The sequence below is a fragment of the Homo sapiens genome, chromosome 2 (assembly GCF_000001405.40).
Source record: "Homo sapiens chromosome 2, GRCh38.p14 Primary Assembly".
NCBI lineage: Eukaryota > Metazoa > Chordata > Mammalia > Primates > Hominidae > Homo > Homo sapiens.
The window spans coordinates 149,193,112-149,217,439 of NC_000002.12; the positions used below are offsets into that span (position 1 = coordinate 149,193,112).

The following is a 24,328-nucleotide window of genomic DNA, read 5'->3' on the forward strand; positions in this document are numbered from 1 at the left end:
AACAATTAGGGTCATCGGTGCTTCCCCAGGCCTCTCACCTTCCAGATGGTCACCTCACCAAGTACTTTGGCCAGTCTCTTAGGCACTTGTAGTGAGAAGAATCTCTGCATTCATTAATAATAAAAAAGGAATAAAAAACAGAAGAATCCTTTTTCTTGGCCTCTTTCAGTTCTGTTGTTACATGCCACTACTTTTAAAGGTACATCCAAGGTGTGGTTTTTTCAAAACACAAGCTAAAAGGGGCTATTTTAGGCATTATCAAAGAACACTTTCTCTAGGAGTCTTATGGTCTGGAAATCAGTACAGAATATGAATGAGATCTCAATGTGTGTTTCCAGCTGAACTTCTTTTTTAAACACTTTTTTTCTCTTTGAGGTGACCTTGAGTGAGGGTAGCAGGGAGTAGAAGAGGGGGAAGAGGAAATAAAATTGATTAAGAAAGGTGGGTACGAGTAAATTTGGAAGGTGCAGGAAAGGGCTTCCCTGGACACAAGAGGCTCCTGAGAACATTATTCCAGTGAGAAGGTCTGGGACTGTGGAAGATGAGAGGCCACCAGAATAATAAGCAGACAGCAGTTCAGGAGTAGCTTCTTAATTTAAGTGAGAAGCCTTTTGTCAAGTAGGAATCTAGTGTTGTTTCTTGAAATACTAGATCTTAGAAAGGAAACTGTAGGGCCAAGCATCATCACACAAATAGAGGAATCCAGGTTTCAGTGAATTTATTATATTCAAATAAACTTACATTTCCATGTAGATATTGATAGGTATAATATTGCAATAAAAGAGTACAGCCCAGAATATAGTATAGCCTCAGTGGGCTTCAGCGCTATGTCCATACCAACATGTGTCCATCTTTCTGAGCCCTTTTATTGAAGTTCAAGGATCTTGCCCATCTCTCTCTGCTTATTTAATGATGTGCTTTAGTGATGGTAGAAGCAGAAAAAGCTAAATTTTGGGGAGGGTGGTGACATTTGTATGAAATTATAAAATATTCTTCAGCTAGCTCTATCTTCTGGTATACTGCTCATTAATATTCTCATTTTCTTACTAATGTCTTTCTTCTTACCCTGATTGGTTTGTAGCATAAATCTAGTTGTTGGTTTCCTATAACTTAATGGATCATAACAATTGCCCTTACACTTCATAGTAAAGAGGCTACTCTTTATTCGTTGCAACATTGCCTGTAATACCTCTGCTAAAACAAGCCATAATGCTTTGGTCCAGAGTGGCTCTTTTCCTGGTGTTTCTAGCCTAGATTCAAGACTCAGTTGGGGTCATGGCAGAAACCACCTGGTATAAACAACCTGGCATTATTTAAGAGAGTTAATAAAGGGACTGTTTACAATGATGTGGGCCAGATTTAGAGGTAGTAGCAGATTCCAGTGCTAGCAGCAGAGAAAATCATTTCTGCTGTATTGTATTATAGGCCTAGAAGACAAGATGAGAAAACAGTTACCAGAATCTAGGAGATGGTAGCTGCAGAGTTGGCCACCTGCTAGGAGCTGTGGGACATGATGATAACCTGATGGGGAGGGAGTCAGGGGAATAAATACCCAGTCTCACTGTCTTTCCATCTGCCAGTCTACCAGCACCTGCTATTGGCCAAACCAAACCAGCAGCCAGTGGAAAGGGAACTATGTGAGCATTCTTTAGCTCAGCTTCCCAGAGCACAGTGTAGGGTGGAGAGGGATAGAGGGTGTTTCTGGAGAAGCAAAGAGGGAAGCCAAGGAGAGTTCATTTCCCTTTCACCGACTGGGATAGCTTGGGAAGGTGGTGTGATTGTAGTGTATTTCAAGCCCCACACAGTGTGTGTTGAATCACAGGTGAATGTACTAGGCCGTTGTTGAACAGACCTTCAGTTGCTGAAAATGGAGTTCTCATAATTTCCACGTGGGTAACTTAAAAGAAGAATGTTGTTAAAAGATTGTTACAAAACTTAAAACATTGTTCACTTAAATGAACAATCAAAATAGAAATGGCAATTCTGTTGGCAAAAAAGGTGAAAAGTCATTTTTTTAAAATTTGCAATATCTGCAAGCGTATGAGGTCTGTGTTCACTTAGAGACCTTCAGCCCATCTCCAAACATAGACTGGGCCTTCTCTGCCCAACCCATTGCTAAGCAAGGAAGGACAGTCTGTGTCCACAAGCAAACTCCAAGCTTTCTTCAGGCTAGAGACCAACTCATGGGCTGGAGTAGGCATGGAAAGATTTTGTGAATGAAAAATATATGAACTGGACCTTCAAAGCAGAATGGGAAGTATGACACACACTTGAGGCAATAAAACAATGATACGAATGAAAGCACAGAGCCTGTTGCTTTTTAAAGCAAATGCTATGAGAACTACTGCGTGTTATTTATGAGTATAGGCAAATCATATAGATTTACCAGAAGGCTGATAAATGGAAATGCTCCAGTGAAGCCTAAATACTGCTCTCACATGTATGTTAGAGTAGTTTTCTTAAAATTGGTCTTCAGAGGAATTTTACATTCTGCTGTCATATGTGCTCAGATAATCATAGAATTTGAGAGCTGAAAATATGTATATTGAATTTCAGTCTTAAATCTTGTCAGCTATTGTATGGCCTTAATGATATTGGCCTGTATGATCATCCATAGAGGAACAATAAATCTCTGTATTGAGCTTTCTAAGTGATTTAATAATTTGACAAAAATGGAAATAGATAGGGGCTTATTTTTTATTCTCCTTTAATTTGCATAAAACTCTCTGCAATATAGGTATTTGATATCTCTATTTTACTGATAGGGAAACAGTCTCAGAGCAATCCAGTGATCAGCTAGAGGCAGTAGATCCTGGACAGAGCTAGAATTTGCCCCCAGGCCTGAGTGCCTCCAGAGGCCGGTTTCTCCCCATTATACTAGGCAGCATTTACACTTGACTTTACCCTTGTGGGACCATGAACCGTATCGTGAACCATTTAATGTAGTTTTTCATTTTGCAATTAAAACACTATTTAACATACATAATTTTTCAGTTTCCAGGGAATATGAAATTATGCACATATATATCTTTATATATGTACATTTCCTTCTGCTCCAAGTGGTAATAGTGGCAATTTATGGAGCAAGTGACACGCTGTAACTTTGTTATATATTCAGAATGCAGAAATTTTTTATTAGTATTGCTTTTATAAGCTTGTCAGCTTCCAGAGAGTTCTTTGAATAATCTGTTCTGGATTTTGTGACTATGCAAAAGTCAGCATGATATTCTTTGCCATAGCATGCAGTTTATTGTTCGTTTTTAAATGCCCTCCTGTTTCAAAATGATAGATATCTACAAACATGTTCTTTACTTGGGTAATATATTTCTAGATGTGGATTCAAGAATAAAGTTGAGTGAGTGGGGGCTTTATAAACAATGGTCAGCGACATGAAACCCTAGGACAGAAGTAAAAAGACAGGACAGATGCATAGTAACAATTCTGCATCGTGCAGCTCTCCCAGTTGAAAGATAACCATGTGGGTGCTGAAGGCAGTTGAGATTATAGGGAATACTGTCTCCTAAACAGAGTTCTAGGGACAATTTTACAATCTGGCACACAGTGCTTAAGCAATGAATTCATTCAATAAAATATATGTATGTCTGTGTATATGCACATATACACATATCCAAACACACATATACAGAGACATTTCTCAAGTGAGAAACACATCTGTATGAAAACTTTATTTTTACGATCATTTTTCTATGTCAGCTGAGGCTAAACGAAGTCAAAAAGTGCTAGCCATCACCTTACACACCGAGTGACCCTGAATGCTAAATTTCCTCAACTGAATGCCACGTATTAGAGTGCATTTGTGGCATGATACACTCCTCCACTCAACCAATGTCGAGTAATGGACTGTTAGCCAGCTGCAGGACATTTCAGCCTCCATTTCTCTTAAGAGAGCTTTGATTGGTTATTAAAAGAAATGAGTTCAATAAAGAGAGCAGCTCTCCTGCAGAACTTCTGTCCACCTATATCTTTCTCTCAAGTATAAAGACACTCCTCTCCCATGGAAAAGAAAAACAAATCTTTCATTTATATACCTGATAGCAGAAGGGTCTGTATAGAATTACCTTTCCATGTTATGTCCTTGGCTTTTTTAAAGAAATGGTCAGGCTAGACACGGTGGCTCATGCCTGTAATCCCAGCACTTTGGGAGACCGAGGCGGGCAGATCACAAGGTCAAGAGATCGAGACCATCCTGGCCAACATGGTGAAACCCCGTCTCTACTAAAAATACAAAAATTAGCTGAGCGTGGTGGCACACGCCTATAGTCCCAGCTACTCAGGAGGCTGAGGCAGGAGAATCGCTTGAACCTGGGAGGTGGAGGTTGCAGTGAGCCGAGATCGCACCACTGCACTCAAGCCTGATGATAGAGCGAGACTCTGTCTCAAGAAAAATAAATAAATGGCCAAATGATGGATGCATCTGGAGGTCCTCAAAACGAATTTCAGGTGTTATTCATATGTTGCTTGGTGCCCCCTATATTGTAGCTGGTATGACTCATTAATTAGAGAATTAAGTATCAGGAAGAGTTATCTTTTCTCAAATAATGAGAATCAGTGCGTCCCATGTCTCCCCTGGCTTCTAGGAAGTACAGAGCAAAGGGAAATGCACAGCTGAGTGCTTCGTTCATGGAAGGGGTTAGGATCTTTGCTATCCTCTCATCCAGTATGGGTTTTATTCAGTATTTTAAGAGCTTTAATGCATACATGACTTGGCATAAGCCTCCTAAAAATCATTTATGGAAACAAACAGGGTAAAAATTATTTCACCTGTGTGAAGGAGACTCTCAAATGTGATCAACGCACTTATTAGGTTCCTACCATTTGTCCAAATAGTTGGATAAGACATGGCAAACCAATCTTGATTCTTTTTAAAGGGAGTTTCTAATTCCTAAACATCTAAGCTTTTCTTTTTTTTTTTTTCTTTTCTTTTTTGTGAGACAGAGTCTCGCTCTGTCACCCAGGCTAGAGTGCAGTGGCATGACCTCGGCTCACTGCAATCCCCGCCTCCTAGGTTCAAGTGATTCTCCTGCCTCAGCCTCCTGAGTAGCTGGGATTACAGGCACGTGCCACCAGCCGAGCTAATTTTTGTATTTTTTAAGTAAAGACAGGGTTTCACCATGTTGGTCAGGCTGGTCTCGAACTCTTGATCTCATGATCTGCCCACCTTGGCCTCCCAAAGTGCTGGGATTACAGGCATGAGCCACCGCGCCTCACTGCTTTTAAATTTTTTCTATGTGGAGCTCTTACCATGTTACCTTTCTGGTGTCATGAAAGCCTTCTCCAGAAAGGTATAAAATCCTGTCTTTGACAGAAATGTAGTTGAAGAGCTGTTACCTTAGAAGAGTCTTTTAGGTTTTTCTTAAAATTTGAATCACATTTAAAAAGATGTCTTTAAAATTGATTAGACTGTTTCTCCACCCAAATTATACACTTATGGGCCATGTATTAATTCATGATTAGATTGAAAATTGATTTGCATAATGAAATTATTTTAACATCAGTGCTGCTTTAGACATTCTCTTTGATCAGGTTGCATGTAGTAGAAAAAGCTTCTGTCTTTGGCATTGCAAAATATACAGCTTTATACTTAAAAAATGAGTTACTTATTTCTGATGAGTTTTTGATCCTATGCTTGATGAGATTTTTTGTAAGTTTAGATTATTTAAAGCAGTACAGCAGGAATCTGAAATGTGATGGGACTGCTGTATTACATTTATGACTCTTTATGGAATAACTAGAATTCTTCATTAATCTCTTTCCATAAAAATTACAGAATATTAGAAGTGGAAGGGACCTTGGCAGTCATTCATTCCAACTTTCCCTTGGTTGCAATAGAGAGAATTTCTAAATCTTAAGAAATCAGTGCACAGAACTCAATCCTGTTGACCAGATTTACTCCAGCCAGTATGCGATGAAGCTGAACATTTATGCCACTTGATCTGATCTCTATTCTGCTGCTAATGATGTCTAAAGCAAGGGCGAAGGAGGGAGAAATGCGGGAAGCAGGCACCTAAGATTTCTTGAACCCCATCTAAGTAAAATGTATTTTACTTATGTAATTGTGCTCAATCCACACCACAACTTAGAAGTTTCCTGTGTGACTCTAAGACTCACTTTTCTTACTGGCAAATGGGCACAGTATTTCTTAACTCTGTGGTCACCTGATTGGTAAATGTAGAACCAGAATTTTCTTCTAGGTATTTCTGAACCTAAAGCTCATTGTTATTCCTCCTCTCAAAGATGATTGTATTAATTCTTGTCAGTCACATCTTACCAGTGGCTCATATTGACTTTTGGTCCCAATAATTTTTGAGCGCACAAGGACGGTGTGCTCAGTACAGTACCTGGTACAAATGCATGACTTATAATTGCACTACTTTCAAGGTTTGGACAAGCTATAGTGAAGGCTGAGGCTGAATCATGATTTTATTTTTTCCTATTGAATGTTGTTATCCAAGAGTAAAGTCTGTTGTGCTCTATAGAGATCTAATCGTCAGATCAAGATGATGGGGTTGATTGTAAGCTCAACTTCTCTCTCCTATTCTGCTTCAGGCACATAGAATGCTAGCTTAAATATATTAAAATTAAAATAATTCATATTTAAACTTGTGGGGGAAAACAACACTCCATGTACCAGAAATAGAGAACCTATTGGCAAAGAGAAATTGAAGCCGTAGGAACTGGGTTCCCAACGCCCAGGGAAGGTTAGGAACTGAAGCCTCAGTTCCCTTGCAAGGAAGGGAGTGAGCACCTGGTCTTGACTAAGCCCCACCTGTGTTCTTCCTAAATTTAATGGGAACCAAAATATCTCCAGTTGCCAACCTGGCCTAACAGCCAGAAGCAAGTAAATGGTAAACTTTTCTGGCCAATTTCCCTTTGGAGGAGGAGTCTTTTTGTCTGTTCCATTCTTTCTGAGTAAAACTTCTGCTCTCATTTTGAATTTCCACTTTGCCTTCTATTCTTTTTACAAGGGAAGCCAGGCCTGTTAAAGATGTCATTAAAGTGTCTTACTGTGAGATAAGTGGTGCTTGCAGGAAGGTGTGAATGTGAGTGTTGATAGGCATGTTGGACTTAGTAGAGCTGTTCCCCTTACATTATGTATTTCATTTATTTTATTGGCAGCTGAAGTTGGCCTTGTGCTTGCTGACTCATTTTTAGCAATTGTGCAAGAAATGGCAGCATTTGCCACCTTTGTTTAGTCTCTTCTTTTTCAAATCACCTTTCATCATTTCTTTATCATCTTTGGACACCCTGCCAATTCTTTACTGCCCACAACTTTTGTCTTGCTTACTAGCTAAGGCACTCTTTATAGGTCATAGCTAATGAGGTTGGCTCTATTCCATAAAGTATCTACTGAGTATCTAGCATGCACTGAGCATGGCCTGGGGAATATAACAAAAAAAAAATGTGGGTCATTTTCCTACCTCAAAAGAGTTTATGATGTCAAAGATGTGCTGCTTCCTGAAGACCCCGTCAACTTTCTGTCTTTTCCCTGGAAGTGTAAAATGCCACACGTTGGATGAGATGATTATCCGAGCTCAGACTTGGGAAATAGTCATGCTTCTGGACCAAGTGCCAGGTAAGTCCTTGATTCTGGTCAGTAATAGGCCAAAGTCTCAGGTGGGGTTTCCTAAATTTACAAATCTGGCTACCTGCCATTCTCTGGAAGCCTGAGAGTTGCCCATCCCTTCTGTATCCCTATAAATATGCCTTGCAGAAATCCCTTCCTTCTGGCAAAGAAGCACTCTGCATTCTGGAGCAAGTATTAATGTATCTTCCGAAGGGAGGACTCATAAAACACAGGAAAAATCAGTACCATAGGTGAGGGATTTCTGACCAGGCCTACTATGTAGGAAAGATGGATGAAGGTAATAAGCTCTGTGTTGGGAAAAATGTTTTGAGCTACGCTTGAAGTCACGATACCTAATATCTATGTGGAACTTTTTCCCTTAGTGTCAAAATATGAAAATGTCTAAGTCACAGGAAGCCAAATTATTATAGCCATATTCTGAAACAGCAAGAAGTCGCTCTTAACCATTATGTGGGTCTCTACAATCGATTATGTGGATTCCTTTGAGATACTCCACCCAGAGGGAAAACATGTCTAGACACATAATTTTGCAAATAACCTGAAGACGCTCATAGGTCACCTGTCTTCACATATGAAGAAGTAACACTGCTCTATGTGATGGCTTAGGACAAAATAACCTGAATGGCTTAATCTCATCCATATAAAAGATTTCTCCCCCTCTGGAGCAAAATATAAGCTCTATTGTGACCTTGATCTGCCACAAAGACTGCAATGAAAGCCTACTCAGCAAAGTCTCAGCAGATAATTTTTAGTTCAGAGTCTCTGTGAAATGATTCTAATGTAAAACAACTGTCAGCTACTATAGTTAGTCATTTACTTTTTCATTATCCTAATGTGTTTGAGTTGTGAAAAATAAAAGTCATGTTAACACAAACATACACACTGAAGAATAGATATAGATAGATATAGGTGCTCAGGAAGAAGTGGTAGATGGTAATAGATTAGAAAACATGCTCTGGAAATAGAAGACATTTTTATTTAGTACTTTCCTCACTTGACAGGCAAAACTTTGGCAGTTTTGCAGAATTTTGATAGAATAAGTCTATGCTGTTTTAGTTAAAAATGGAAATGAAAATACATTTTGTCTATATGGAAGCAATTTTTGGTATACTTCTCGTTAGTTTTCAAGTTTAGCAGGCTAGGCTGTGCTATGTGGAAGTTTTTTGAGAGGATGCTATGTTCTGAGCAGTGTGCTGGGATCATTACATATGTTGCTGCTAAACCACGGTTTCCTCACTTGTACAATGATAATGGCACTAGGGTTCCTACAGTGCTATTTTGAAGGATGGAAAAACCAGAAAGAAGCCTAATCCTTGTGCTTGTTTTCAATCAGTTGTTTTTAAGTTGTCTATCATTTATTCTTAGAGAGACCTTTGCAGTGTATCTGAATTCCATATTCCTCTATGTTCACTATCATTTATATCCCTTTATTTCAGGAACTAGAGATAAGACTAGGAATCTGGGACCAATTACTTGACAGAGAAAAAGCATTCTTGGCATTTTTCACAATTAGATGGTCTAAATTCAAAAATTTCTTGATTTTGCTGGACTCAAAATTCTTGCTATGGCCTGTAAGCATCTGTGTGATCTGGTCCCACCGACTCCCTGACTGTCCAGTCCCCTCCTTCGTGTTCCAGCCACACTGGCTGCTTTTTTTGAGTTCCCCCATGAGGCAAGCTTCTTCCCATCTTAGGACCTTGGTTACTTTTCCCTTGATTCTTTGCTTGGCTGATTCTTTCCCATCATTTAATTTACCTGTTCGAATGTCAACTACTCAGAGAGACATACTGGGTCCTTGTCTGTGTAAAGTAGCACCTGCTATTCACCATCGTCTCACCTTATTGTGTTTCCTTCATGAAACTTATGACTATCTGAAATTATGTTTTGCCCGCATGTATTGCCTGTTTTCTCCCTCTAAAATGCAATTTGCATTAGAGTCAAGACCTTGTTGGGGAGTCAGCGATAACAATAACTTGTTATTTATTAGGTATCAATAACAACATGTTGAATGAATGAATGGGCTTTTGTCTCACACTGAGATTACATGAGGAAAACCAAACTTCTTACTTGTGATACCAAACTGGGGATTTGTTCATAATAGTAAGTGCTTACTTAGTAAAAATTAGCAAAATTCCACACACGTAACTCATTTAAGTACTTTACAGGCATTAATTTAATTCCTACAACCCTATGAAATGGGTATTATTACTCCCATTTTATAGATGCAAAAATTTTGGTACAGGGAAGTTAAGGAACTTGCACCAAATAGCAGTTTTGGATACAGGTATTTGAGCCAATGCTCTTTACTATTGAGTAGAAAGTGCTCAATAAATAGAGCTTTAACCATGTGCTCAGCACATGCACTCAGCGCGTGCAAACTATGTGCTTAGCTTCCCTATGCACTGGGTCATTCAGTCCTCACTCCAAAACTATGAGGTAAGTACTATCCTATGCTTGTTCTAGAGATGAGGAAGCCAAGACTTGGAAACCTTCAGCAACTTGTCTAAGGTCCCATAGTTGCTTAGTAGTGAAAAAGAGATTTGAATGTAGATAACGTGACACTGAAACCTGTATCTTAGGCCTTCTCTCCATATTATAAGAACACTTGAATATTGCTACTGGAACATAGTCCTTCTGAGACTGTGAAAAAGGGATTAGTCTCCCCCACACAAAGGGTCTCCACTGGTATAAAGAAGGGTATAATAATGACTATGGAATAGACCAACTCAGAGAAATGAATAGGAGAAGCAGAATCTGTATCAGTACAACCACTTGACTGTAAGGGATAATATTATTTGCTAACTGTCCATTTCTTCAGAAAGAGCATAAGAATGGAATTTAGAAATCCAATAACTGAAAGGTCAATCTTGGTTTCTAAAATGAACCAGGAAAGAATTATATATATTTGTATATATCACTAGGTATGATTATGTACATGAGCTATAATGCAGTGTAGAAAGTTTAGCTATTGTTTTTTGAAACATACTCACAAAAGTGGTTGCTGTTTTATAACTCTGCTGTTGTTTTATAACTCTTAGTACTTTCTTAGCAGCTCAGTTCTATCAGTGGCAAACACCATCGATAGGGATGATAGGATGTTGTGGCTATGTATTGTCTAATAATTTAGTTCCATCCCCATGGGAAGGCCTTATTAGTGACACATGCAAAATCAGTATACCCACAATAAGAGAGGGAAGAAAATTCCTAGAATCTATGCATTATTGCTCTGGGTTCAAACAAAACGTGCATGTGAAGGATTATGCTTGTATATGCAGAGATCAAACCTTTTTCCTTTGAAATATTCCCTAAACCCATTGAAACCAGTTGATTCAGCAAGAAGGAGTTCAGCCAATATTATTGAACTCTAGTATTCCAGTATTTTCACAGAACTTTTATGATGAGTTCTTTTATGTACACAATCCTATGTGATCCTTTCTGAACCCACATTTGACGCTCACATTTACCTAAATATGTGGGCAGTGTAGGTATTATTAAGCCACATTACAGATGAGGAAATTGAGGTTAATAGAGTTTCAAGAGCTTGCCCAAGGTCAGGCAGCTAATAAATAGCAGAGCCAGCACCTGAACCAAAGTCTTCGGGTTCCCGGTTACATACTTTTTCTGCTGCCCACACCTCCTCCTTGTCAAAGGAAACCTGTCAGTGGTGACATTATAAATTTTCTTGCTACCAGTTCTGCCTCTGGGGAAGTAGAGCCAGGGGGCTTAAGATGTCATATCTTTTACTCAGTGCTATGTGCCTGTCTGTCATTTTGTTGGGATTTTCCCCTGCCTACTTGAAGTCTATAAATGCGGTGAGTAGTATTTGTGGACCAGGACTAACATTATATGGTTGTCAGCTTTTCAGACAACTTTTATTCTGTTTCCTCTAGAGCCTCCTGGCAGCTTCTTGTGCCCAGGGTGACAGAAACAGGAGGGGCTGGCAGTTCACAACGACTCTTGTCTCTCTTCTCAATGTCGGTGTGCTCTAGGATCTGGCAGAGATTTTATTTCTCAGACTCCTTGTCCTTTCCCCTGCTGTCCTTCTCACTGCTCCCAGTTTTATTGTTTCTTCTAGGTTTTGAAAGAGTTGCAAAATTTATCAAATGCAAATGTTGACTCAAGGAATGGAACTGACAGATAGGTGGTCCAGTGACTTTGGCTCAACATGCCTCAGAACCACGGTTGATTTGAGAAATCCAGTGATTCAGCACAGAGGAAACCAGCTAGCCGCAGTCACTGAGGGAATGGGGTGCAGCCAGGCCAGCTCTGCCTGCTTGTCCTTCCTGAACTCAAAAGGCCATCGAGTGTTCTGCTAAAGCCCACCTGGCTAGTGCAGAGGCCTGACCAGTAGAAGGAGGTCATTACTTACCTTTCATTTGATCAAAAACAATGCAATTTACTCGCAGGTCCTGGCCCTACACAACAGGTAGATGGTTGGATATATTTGGATAATGGAGCTTTCCAAACAGAAGCAAAACACAAACCCACTGATGTAAAATATAAAGAAACTGAACCAGTGTGTCTTTTCACCATAGATATAAGAGTTCGGACCGCCCAGCACACAAGGTCAGCATGCTGCTCCTCTGTCACGCTCTCGCTATAGCTGTTGTCCAGATCGTTATCTTCTCAGAAAGCTGGGCATTTGCCAAGAACATCAACTTCTATAATGTGAGGCCTCCTCTCGACCGTAAGTAGTGGTGGTTGCCATCCTAGTTCATGGCTGTGGGGCCAGAGTGTTAATATGAAGCCCCCTTTTCCATTTATTGTAACTTCGTCTTTCCCAGAACATTTGTTTTATCCCTAGAATAAAACAGAAAGTCTCCATTACTTCTATGGGTAAGCATATGGTAAGTGAAATTTTCTCCATTTCCTTAAAATGGTCTGGCTTCCTGCTGAAGTTTTAAAAGCATTCTTGTTTTAAAAAAAACTTTTGGAGCACTGTTCCTAATCATGGCATAGTAGAGGAAATTCATTGTTCTTTGTCTGTCTTCCCTGGAGAAGGAAATTGGCTGTTGCATGTTTCTGCATAAATGATCTATTAATTCTTTCAAATGGCCATTAACAATTTTGAAAACAGATTTGTATGTTTGAAATTTGGAGGGAAATATCACCTGGATTTTCATTACTACCGCGCGTAATCACCATTAGCAAAGGTTACATAAGACTCAACTTTTCCACTAATAGTTTAAAGATAGGCAAATATTAGTAACACATACAGGATATATATGTTAATACATTTTACATACATATGTCTAGATATGTGTTTGTATACATATGTCATTAACCCTCCTTTCTTTTCAGACAAGTAAAACGTCTTTGATATACTTTATTAGAGAGTGATTCTTATAAATAAAAAATTATTTGGTATACATGTGGGTACCTGTAGTTCCCACGCCTGGAAGAGTATCAGAATCATGATGAAAGGATTTTTAACTGCATATCCCTAATCACTTCTCCAGAGATTTAACAGTCAAGAGGGTGAGATGCAGAATATATTTATATCTTTTTTCTCTGCTTTTCTTTTTTAAGAAGCTCTTCTGATACGGTTGATACATGGTCAGGTGTGAGAACCCCCTCTTCTTATACTACTCATAAATGAGATCTGTATCATTACTGTTCTTTACTTTGTGCTTTATTATTTGGGACAGTCATCTCTGTGTGTGTGTGCATATATACACATGTATACTATAGACATGTACATATACTTACATATACTACACATACACACCTTGAACTACCATTATACATTTCTAAATTGGTAATAATTGTATACTGATAGCTGAAAGACATGGCACAGACATCATTTTCATAGACCCTAACTTCTCTGCAAATTTTGAAATTTTTAAGCTTAGTACAATTTTATGATGAGAAAAAAATCATTTTAAAAAAGACAAAAAAGTAATTCATGTTCATTATAGAAAATTCCAAAGAGACGGAAAACATATAGAAGAAAATAAAATTCATTCATAACCTCAAGATTCAAAGGAGCTTTTCTTTTGGAATATTTCCTTCCAGTATTTTTTCTATGTATGTGTATTTACATATGTGATATACTGAGATCGTACAAATGTAGTTTACACAGTTTTTCCCTCTTTATACATATTTTGAATATTTTCCAATGTCTTTGAAGATAGTTTAATGTCTTCTACATTTAAAAAAATCATAAGGCTGGTCTGTAGCTTATTTCACTATTCCCCCACACTTTATATCAGAAAGAAAAAGAAATCACAAGCAAACTAAATGTTAAATAATTCTTCATTGAAAATCGTTTTAAATTCACTATTTCTTCAATTGGCTAATGACCTTAGAATAGATTTCCTGGAATTGGAATTACTAAATCAAAAAGGTTGTGCCAATTTATACTTTAACCATTTACCTACCAGCATTGACTGTAAGTATTTTTTAACTGTACTGATTTAATTGGTTAAAATGGATGTCATTATTTATTTTCCTGCTGATACACTTTTGAACATAGGCAAAACTGAAATATATTCTCAGTATTTAACTTCTTGTCCTCCAAACTTTAGCTTTTGATATTTTGTTCTTGTTTTGTGCTACCATACATATCCTCCCCTTTATCTGAAATGCCCACTGCTTTCTGGTTTTCACCCCATCTTCTAGTTATATTACTAAGATGGTTACTGTGTTACTAATAGAATGAAGAGAATGAAACAGTGTCTTTGTCTTAGGAAAATGGGAGAATTGAAAGTTTTACACAGGGTCCTATACCTGGTCTACACAGAAATGTCAAATTATTTTATTTTTTTCTTCTTGTCCGCTAAAATTACAAGATACAAGGCCAAAAGAAAAAAAAAAGGCATAAAGACAAGTTGCTCTCAGTCCAGACTACCAGCAACTCAGAAATTCTTCTTTCCATAACAAACTGGCCTAATTATAAGGGCTTAAGAATTACTATCATCCTCATATTAAATGTTATATTCCTGGCCAAGGTCTAATGTTGTGATAATTGACATATATCAGATGAGATTACATGTTTGAGGTTAAATGTAGCTGTACTGGAAGTGCATATGGACAGAAACCAGCATGATTTGACGTGCTAGAGACTACAAGGTATTTTCTTGCAACTTCCCATTTAATCCTCATTATACCTCTGCAAGTCATGGGGATCTTCATTATTAATATAAATATTATTATATCTTAGAATTTTAAAAAATCACACAACTAATCTGTGGGGAGAACAGAATTCAAACTCAGGTTAATCTGACTCCAGTTCTTTTCAGGGATGACACGTGTGTTCCAATACCTCTACTGCCCTCATCTACCCCCTCAACCCCTACTTATTCCCAAATTATAAATGATAATAGAACAATACTATGCATCTTTCAAAGTAGCTGTGGGACCACTTTCATCACTCTATAGTGGCAATTCTTAGAAGACATATTTAAACAAAAGGGAATAAAGAAAATTCCCCAAAAGCCTGATGAGTAAATCTAGCTCTCTAGAAACAGTAATTGTAAGGATGAAAGCTTATAAGTTTTGTTTCATCTGTTAAAGTTGCTCATTTTGTACCATGTTTGATGTTCGAAATTTTTGTCTTCTGTAGCTTACTGTTTCACTTTGCTTTTTTCTTTAAAGCTACACCATTTCCAAATAGCTTCAAGTGCTTTACTTGTGAAAACGCAGGGGATAATTATAACTGCAATCGATGGGCAGAAGACAAATGGTGTCCACAAAGTAAGTGTGCTGAGTTTGGAAGACTTCTGTGATCTCATTTCATTTGAATCTCTCCTGACTTGATGATGTTCTTTAGGAATCAGATGTATTTTTTTCTGAGACTATCCGGACATCAGACTATATTGAGAGTTCTTGGAAACTGGTGTCAAAGACTCTAACTGAAGTTGAGTACCTTAAGGAAGAATTTCTTAAATGTTATTTACCAGGGAGAACACATAGACCACAATATTAAGTCATTCTCAGAATTTCAGAAATACTTGATTATACCTCTAGAAAAGTCATACTTACCATCTCAACAAAGGATGATTTCTATACTCTTGAGATACATTGATATTTGGGAAACTCATTCATTCATTTAACAAACTTCCAAGTATCTTTTTAGTTTGTTTAGTTTACAGATATATCCCAGTGCCTAATCCAGTGCCTGGCCCATGTTTACTCAGTAAATATTTGCTGACAGAATGAATGGAAGCCTCTGATTAGATAGTCAGGGAAATCTTCTCTGAGAACTGTACCTTAGAACTACGACCTGAGTGACCATAGCAAGCTGCCACGTGGAGATCTGTGGGAAGAACATACTGGAAAGAGGGAATCGCAAATGCAGAGTTTTCAAGGGTGATAGTTGGCTTGGCCTCTTCAATGAACAGGAAGGAGACTGGCTGCAGAGGCTTAGTGGGAGATGGAGGAAGGATCCGAGAGGGAAGCAAGGGCCAGGATATGCAGGAGCTTCTTTTTTCTAATAATTTGGATTTTATTGTAAAGGTGGTGAGAAGGCGGTAGGGAGTTTTAAGCTAGGGAATACATAGCAGTTGTGTTCCAAAATATTGCTCTGGCTGCTGTGTGGAGAATGGAGGGTTGGGGACAAGAGTAGGAGGGAACGCCAAATGAGGACTCTCATCTTCAGACAGAAGATGAGAATTTGGACTAGGTTGGTAGGAGCAGAGGAGGTGGGGAGGTGAATGATTGAATGCATATGAACTTGGAAGTAAAGCAGACAGAATGTGCTGATGGATGAATTGAAATGTTAAAACCCTACTTAGGAGATCGGGTTGTTCAGATTTTAGGATGTACTGTTTTTTAGGTTTTTCAGATATAAGAGGCCAAGAAAAAAAAACTCTTACAGAATTAGAGATAACTAGTTTTGGTCTACTGTTACCCGGAATCTTTTGGAAATTCCAGTACCACATTATTTATAGCAGTGGCATAGCTTTACCTCTTCCAGTTACAGCCAATGTGTGGAGCCAATAAATACTAATCCAATAAATACATTGGAGACCTCTACTATGCCTGAGAATCGTATGCCATAAATTAGCACAAATGGCCGTGGCATCCATGTGGACAGTGTTTTTTGTTATTTATTTTCAAGAATAATTAATTAACAAAATATGTTTTTCTTGAGGTTCTTTTACATTTCTGTCAAGGGATCATCCTTAAGTTGTGTGTGCGCTTATGAGTGTATGTGCATGCATGATTGTATGTATTTGGGGATTTATTTCTACATTTTCAACAGAAATTTATCTTTGTTATTTCAAAGTTTTCAAGGTTTGTTGATGCTTCTCTTTACTAATTTATTTCAGAGAGTATCATCCTTTAACAATTTGCTTTAAGTTGCCTTGAAAGCTGGGCAGCAAGGGTTAGAACAGTAGTAAACTGCGGCACTGATGTCCAACCTGGTAGGCCTTATCTTCATGGCTCATGCTATTGTTTTGAATTGTACCAAAACACTGCTCCTTCTAGGTCTGTACATAATGCTCCAACTTGTCATTAGTTGACCAAAGCCATCTTAGCATGCAGGCAAAGAAGATGCATGGCTGTTTCTGGGCTTTAGGATTTCTTCTCTGTTGAAACATGGCTGAACCAAAGGAGAAGCTGCAGCTTTCCACCACCAAGAAAACATCAGAGATGGGAAGGGTGGAAGAGAGTCTGCTCTGCCAAGTCCACCTGAGAGGCTGACTCTTAATGGGCTCAATACGGAATGGCCCTGCATTCCAGCATGGCATGATAGGACATTCTTACTATAGGCCAGGCAGGTCCCAAAGATACTAACCACCTGGAATTCTAATTGAGGGTGTAACTTCTTACTTTTCACTTTGTCATTTCAGGGAGTGATAGTCAACCATTTCTCGGGGCAAATAGGCCTACGGCTATTGTTCTTTGTCATCTCAGATTTCCTTTTTACTTTACAGCTTCACTTCTGTGGTCTGTTGGTGTTGTTAAAAGAAGTCTTCTGTGTAACAGGATATGACAAGAATGACATTTCTTGTTTTATTTACCCCGGCTTTTATGCTGACTTTTTAGGGCTGCCTTAGCATGTGTCCCGTTCTGTATGAACACATGCAGCCACCAGTTTTCGATTCTTCTTTGTTTAGAGTGGAAATTGAAATGTTTTCTCCAGAACTTTTAGCGGCTCCCTTTCCTTTTGAATCTGGAAGTCAGCTACTCTTGTAGGACACTCTACATTATATCACTGTATTAGTCCGTTCTTGCATTGCTATAAAGAAACACCTGAGACTGGGTCATTTATAAAGAAAAGAGATTTAATTGGCTTACGGTTCCATAGGCTGTTCAGGAAGCATGATGCTGGCGTCTTCTTGGCTTCTGGGGAGGGCTCAGGAAACTTACAATCATGGCAGAAGGCAAAGAGGGAATGAGGCATCTCACATGGTGGTTGCAGGAGCAAGAAAGAGAGGGGGGAGGTGCTACACAGTTTTAGACAAGCAGATCTCATGAGAACTCACTATCACAAGAACAGCACTAAGGGGATGGCACTAAACCATTCATGAAGGATCCACCCCCATGATTTAATCACCTCCCCTCTCCAACATGGGGGCTCACAGTTTGATATGAGATTTGGGTGAGACACAGACTCAAACCATATCAATTGCCACGTGGTTTAATATTAAGTATACTGAGGAGTAGAATAATGTTCTGGTTAAGAGTGCAAGCCCTAGGAAAACTACTGGGTTAGAATCCTACTTTTCACCATTTTCTTTCTCTGTGACCATGGGCAAGAAATTGTCCTCAGTTTACCAGTAAAATGAGGCTTACCTTAATATGACTTACCTTAAGGCTTATGGTGAAGATTGAATGCTTGAACACAAGTTATAGGAGTACCTGGCTGATAGTGCACACTCAGTATGGGTTTGCTACTGTTTGTATTATGTAAAGCTTATCACAACCCTATCAAAGCATCAAGACACTTATTATCTATCATTTTACTAAAACCAAAAAAAAAAAAATGAGCTCAGAAGATCTACCATGACTTGCTCACCTATGACAAAGGCAGTTCCATAAGCCCAGTCTTCTCAGCTTTAGTCCAATTTTTTTCCCATTCTATGACATTGCTGTTGTAGTCTCTGATCAGTAAACTAAGAAGCATTTCATTGGCCTCTGGTATAAAAGAGACACAGAACCAAAGAATAATGTCCTAGGATATTGAATGAAACTTCTTCAAAGAACCCTAAGTAATAAAATGTGAGTGGTTAAAACCTTAAGGATAATTCTGGGTAGAAATGAGGTACTGTAGATAGCTGGGTAGAAATGAGGTACTGTAGATAAGCAGGAGGTGGTGGGTGGGAAACAGAGAAAGTAAAAGAGGAGGAAAAAAAATGGAAATACATGGATGAGAAAAGTCTAACATGTTGGTAGGATTAGAACCAGAATAGAAATTATTAGGTTGGTGCAGCCGGGCGCGGTGGCTCACGCCTGTAATCCCAGCACTTTGGGAGGCCGAGGCGGGCGGATCATGAGGTCAGGAGATCGAGGTCATCCTGGCTAACATGGTCAAACCCCGTCTCTACTAAAAATCAAAAAAAAAAAATTAGCCAGGCGTGGTGGCGGGTGCCTGTAGTCCCAGCTACTCAGGAGGTTGAGGAAGGAGAATGGTGTGAACCCGGGAGGCAGGGCTTGCAGTGAGCCGAGATCACGCCACTGCACTCCAGCCTGGGGACAGAGTAAGACTCCGTCTCAAAAAAAAAAAAAAAAAAAAAAAAGAAATTATTAGGTTGGTGCAAAATGAATTGCGGGTTTTACAATTTAATAAATGAGTGAAAAAGGTGATTGTGATGTATAATTCGAAGCACCTGCTTTTCACCCCAGCTCACCACATGGCCTATTAGTATACAAGAGAAAAATGATGAGTAATGAAACAACTGTATAATGAAACAACTGTTCTGACCCATTGCGTTTTACCATCACAATTTTCATTTTATTTTAGATTTCGAGAACGTGCTTCAGAGGGAGAGAGAGGGCCAGAGACATAAATATTTTCATATCAAATGAGCAGACCCATGTTTTGATAAAATGCTTGCAGTTTTTCCTCAGCTCTAACTGAAACCACAGGATGAGCGCCCATTTACGTTCATTTTCAAAACACATATGTTCTTCAGAAGCTGGTGTCCTTTGAAAAATATCACCTAGAAACTTCAGAGTTCACTGCTATGAAATGTCTTGCCTAAAAACCCCAGGACTGGCCTGAATTTGAGTCCTTTCTGCATTAATTGTTAAGAGATCTCTTTTGTAATATGGATATTGAAATTACCTTGTTTCTTGGTTTTGTTTTTTGTTTCCTCTTGCCTAGATACACAGTACTGTTTGACAGTTCATCACTTCACCAGCCACGGAAGAAGCACATCCATCACCAAAAAGTGTGCCTCCAGAAGTGAATGTCATTTTGTCGGTTGCCACCACAGCCGAGATTCTGAACATACGGTAAGGATCGTGTGTGTGTGTTATTGTCTAAACTTTCATCCTAGTAATGTAAGTCGTAGATCAAAGGAGAGGCAGGAAGGATAGTAATATGTGGACCATGTTTACATTTTGAGGAAAGACTCCATACAAAGATAAAATGGAGACCAAAGAACAGACTCCATACAAAGGTAAAATGGAGACCAAAGAACAGAGACTCCATACAAAGATAAAATGGAGACCAAAGAACAGACTCCATACAAAGATAAAATGGAGACCAAAGAACAGAGACTCCGTACAAACATAAAATGGAGACCAAAGAAATGAAGGAACCCTTGTCTTATTCACTGCTTCTGCTTAGATGAGGAAGGGAGTCTGAAGGATTAGCCTCAGTTTAATATGATGAACTGTAGATACCTTTTAGATCAATTGATGGCTTTAACGTTCTCATTCTATCATTCTAAATGAGCATTTCACTCCTTTATATGCCTGGAATTCTGAAATGCTTAAGAAAGAATTACTTGAAAATATGTTCATTTCATGAGGTTTTAGAATTTGATTTACCCTGTAATAAGTACAGAAAATGATTCTCATATCAGTGGCTTTTAACTCTAGCTACACAAGAATCACCTGGGTAGCTTTTACAAGCTCTGCTTGTTGTTGAGGGATGCAGGCCGGCAGGCTCTCCAGACCAGTTGAAATGGAACCTCAGGGTAAGGTCCTGGGTGTCAGGATCTTTTTAAAAAGTTCCCCGAGGTGATTCTGATGTGCAGCCAGGGTTGAGAACCACTGATATGGATGCCTAGAGTTGATGCCTTTATCATACCTAGTCATCCTGGAAGCCTCTATGAATGGCTGGGTTTATCAGGTTGAGACATTGTACCTGGCACGGTTTGGTATTACCTGAAAACATCCCCTGAAAACACCAGTTAGGGACAAGCCTTTATTTTTTCTTACACCACTCAGCAACCATAATTAGTAAACCATTGTTGCTGTAATGATAAGAATCAGGTGTTAGCATAGACAATAGAGAGTCATTATTATCCCCTAACAAGTAGCACTGAGAAAGAAAATCAATGACTAATCCGAAAGGTTCCTAGCTTTCATTTTTGTCTGAGTGTTTTCCCTTACAAACCTTTAGAAGATTTGTGGACTCAATCAAGCACTCTTATGCAGTTTCTCTTCCTCTTTGCCTTGCTAATGCTTGGATTTGATGCAGATAAATCACAGTTAGGATAAAAGACTTTCAGCATGGTTTTTCCCTTCCATTCTATTGGCATTGGTGGGGGAAGGGTACCCAAGAGCCTAGATGATGCAAAATTGGATAACCAACTCCAATTGTCTGTCTTCAGATAGAGCTCAAGAAGCCTTTGTTTTATCTTTCTTTCTTTTGCCCCTTCCCTCTTCTATTATTCACTGTCATTTCCTCTCTCCTTTTTTGTAACAGGAGTGTAGGTCTTGCTGTGAAGGAATGATCTGCAATGTAGAATTACCCACCAATCACACTAATGCAGTGTTTGCCGTAATGCACGCTCAGAGAACATCTGGCAGCAGTGCCCCCACACTCTACCTACCAGTGCTTGCCTGGGTCTTTGTGCTTCCATTGCTGTGATGCCACCATTCCTAGGAGAGGCAGAGACCAGCCTCTAAAGCACAAGCCAAAAACTGTGTGAACGGTGAACTTTGGAGTGAAGATCAATCTTGCACTTGGTGAAGAGTGCACATTGGACCTCAAGGCGAAAGCCAGTGGTTTGCTTGGATAAAATGTTCCCGCATGAGGCCACAGGACTGAGGATGGGAATTTGGCAGGGCCTGAGAAGATGGTCTGACTTCCAGGCTTCCTGGTCAAAGAGAGCTACGTTTGGGCAGTTCTGCAGAGAGGATCCTGGCAACTAGTCCCACCTGACTAGGCCTTTAGCTGAAAGGATTTCTTGACCTCCTTGACTGCCTCAGAGGCTGCCAGGTCAAACCCTCTTGTTTATGTGATTAGCTCAGAGCATCTCTATGAAATCTAACCCTTCCCCTCATGAGAAAGCAGTTTTCCCCACCAACAGCATAGTCAATGAGAAAGGCAACTGTACGAAGAAAACTTCCAGTGGAACTAATATGAAATCTATTTGCAAATTATGGGGGGAAATAAAGCTTTTAAATTATACAATGTAAATGCATGCTTGTGTGTTTCTTGACTGATGTGGAGACCTCTGGTGAAACAGTTACCAGGGTCATAAAATAGACATTTGTGTCCATGAACCGTTGGTGATATGTGTTAAACTATAAAATTTGATGCTGAAGCTATTTAGCTTTTTTCTTTTGGGGGAGAGATGCATTTTAGGATGTTAATACAAACTTAGTGAATTGAGAATATCTGGGAAGCCTCCCTGATAAAGGAAGATGACACCTTGTCATATGATGCACCCTCAGCAGTAGTAGCTTCAAAAGTTCTAGTCACAGAAAGTGGCAAGGGGGGGTCCATTTTCCTCCTTCAGTCATATTCTCTATGCATGCCATGTCTACCAAGAGAACTTCTGTAAATACATGCTAAATGTTTGGTCCCATTCTCTTCTCTTTCCACTTACAGTGCAATCTCTGAATTTCAAATGAGCATCTTCTTCCTGTTTCTAGAATTCTGATTTCCTGCCTTCAGTCACACTTTGGGATGACTTTTAAACTCTCTGCCCTTGTATTTATAGTGATGAGCTAATGGAATGGGTTTTTCCCCCCAATTAAATATCCATCATTAGAATGCTGGGTGCCCTTGTAGGCTCTAGGTATTAATGATGCTATCCTTGCCATATGGGCTCACCTATGACATGAGTTGGCAAATTATGGCCCACAGGCCAAATACATTCCACCACCCATTTTTGTGAATAAGTTTTTATTAAAACACAGCCATGGCCACTTGTTTATGTATTGTGTGTGTCTCCTTTTGTGCTATAATGGCAGGGTTGCAGAGATGCAGCAGAGACTGCATAGTCTGCAAAGTCTAAAAGCTTTACTATCTTGCCCTTTTCAGGAAAAATTTGCTGACCCCTAACCTATGGGATGTCAAGACTGCTTAAGGAGAAAGCCACTTTCTTTGCAGGCACCATGTTGCTAATGGTGGTTACTCAGCCTGAGCAATGGTTGGCCAAATCACTTCCCTTGTTTTCTTTGTCTTCTGAGTCAGTGAATTTGTCTTCTGTTTTGATTGTTTCATGTATTTGATTCCATCTTGTAGTTATGTACTGATGTCAGGGGCTGAGCTGTATTTATGTTTCTTCTCATCCTTGACACACTGGGAGCATTTCATCTTAAGGCTCCTTAGCGTCCTATCAAACAGGGAGGGGGCAGACATCATTATCTCCCTGTCTCTGGCCCAAACTTAGACTCACTTGGTAGCATCAGTTTTGAAGCCTAATGTAGATTTATCCTATCTTTCACTCAGCATCTTGAAGTATTTGCATTTTCATAGCTTATACTTGTTTGAAAATAATTATATATGGCTTCACTTGGAAATTTTAATGGCATCTTTGGCATCTTTTTATTCCCCAGGGTTTCTTTTGACTGTGTAATTGACAAATTGTCTGGTAAAAAACCATTAGCAGACAGCACTTTTTTTTCTCTGATTTTGTTTCTGCTGTATAGATTAATGAAGTTTCTTTTGTGTGTGTTTTTTTCTTTCCTGAGGAAATATCTTAATTTTCTCTTCTTCACCCTGAACATCAAGTTCATATGGATTTCACGTCTCACCTCCATTCCCTTAAGCATTTAAAATCGGGGTATGTTGAGCAAAGGAGGGAGTGCAAAGGAAACAAACTTCTGGTAAAGGCAGCTGAGTGAACAGGGGATTATGAATAAAAATATGGGATTCCCCACCAAATTTGAATTTCAGATAAAATCAAATAATTTTTTGTGTAAGTTATTCATGAACTCACAAGATGGGCTTGTCTAAGGAAATGGTTTCAAATCCTTGTAATAAATCTGAATCTTCTGAGTAACTCCAAAACAAAACAAGTTCCCAGGACATTCTGGAGATGTTGATTCAGTAGCTCTGAGGTGAAGCTCAAGCCTACCCCAATAGCTGAAAGTTAAATTTAAACAAACAAAAGCTCTCGGGTGATGATAATGCTTATCCAGGTGTTACCTCTGATGTGAGAGGATCATTCCTTCTTCTGAAGCCTGCTCCTTGGCCACATAATAGGTATGCTAATAAGTAATAAACACATACACAAGCAACCACGGTTACAGGCATAGCTCTAAAAGTGTGGCCCCACAGCGTCACCTGGAAACTTGTTAGAAATGCAAATCTCAGACTCCATCTCAGACCTATTAAATCAGAAACTCTGCAGGTTCAACCGGTGA

General features: G+C 39.1%; 1 protein-coding gene across 30 annotated transcripts in view; it reads left to right on the forward strand.

The window, feature by feature from the left end:
• Positions 1 to 22,151, forward strand: part of LYPD6B (LY6/PLAUR domain containing 6B) — a 176,564-nt gene extending 154,413 nt beyond the window's left edge. For 28 of the 30 annotated variants that reach the window (XM_047443412.1, XM_017003366.2, XM_047443404.1 and 25 more), the window contains 4 exons: positions 12,142 to 12,293; positions 15,203 to 15,301; positions 19,881 to 20,011; positions 21,435 to 22,151. In XM_047443412.1, the coding sequence (XP_047299368.1) occupies positions 12,142 to 12,293; positions 15,203 to 15,301; positions 19,881 to 20,011; positions 21,435 to 21,599 (547 nt within the window). In that variant the 3' untranslated portion in view covers positions 21,600 to 22,151. Of the gene's footprint in view, positions 1 to 5,214; positions 7,595 to 12,141; positions 12,294 to 15,202; positions 15,302 to 19,880; positions 20,012 to 21,434 lie in introns of those variants that run through there. The other 2 variants (XM_047443418.1, NM_001317004.1) reach the window with 2 other exon arrangements.
• The last annotated feature ends 2,177 nt before the right edge of the window (positions 22,152 to 24,328 follow it).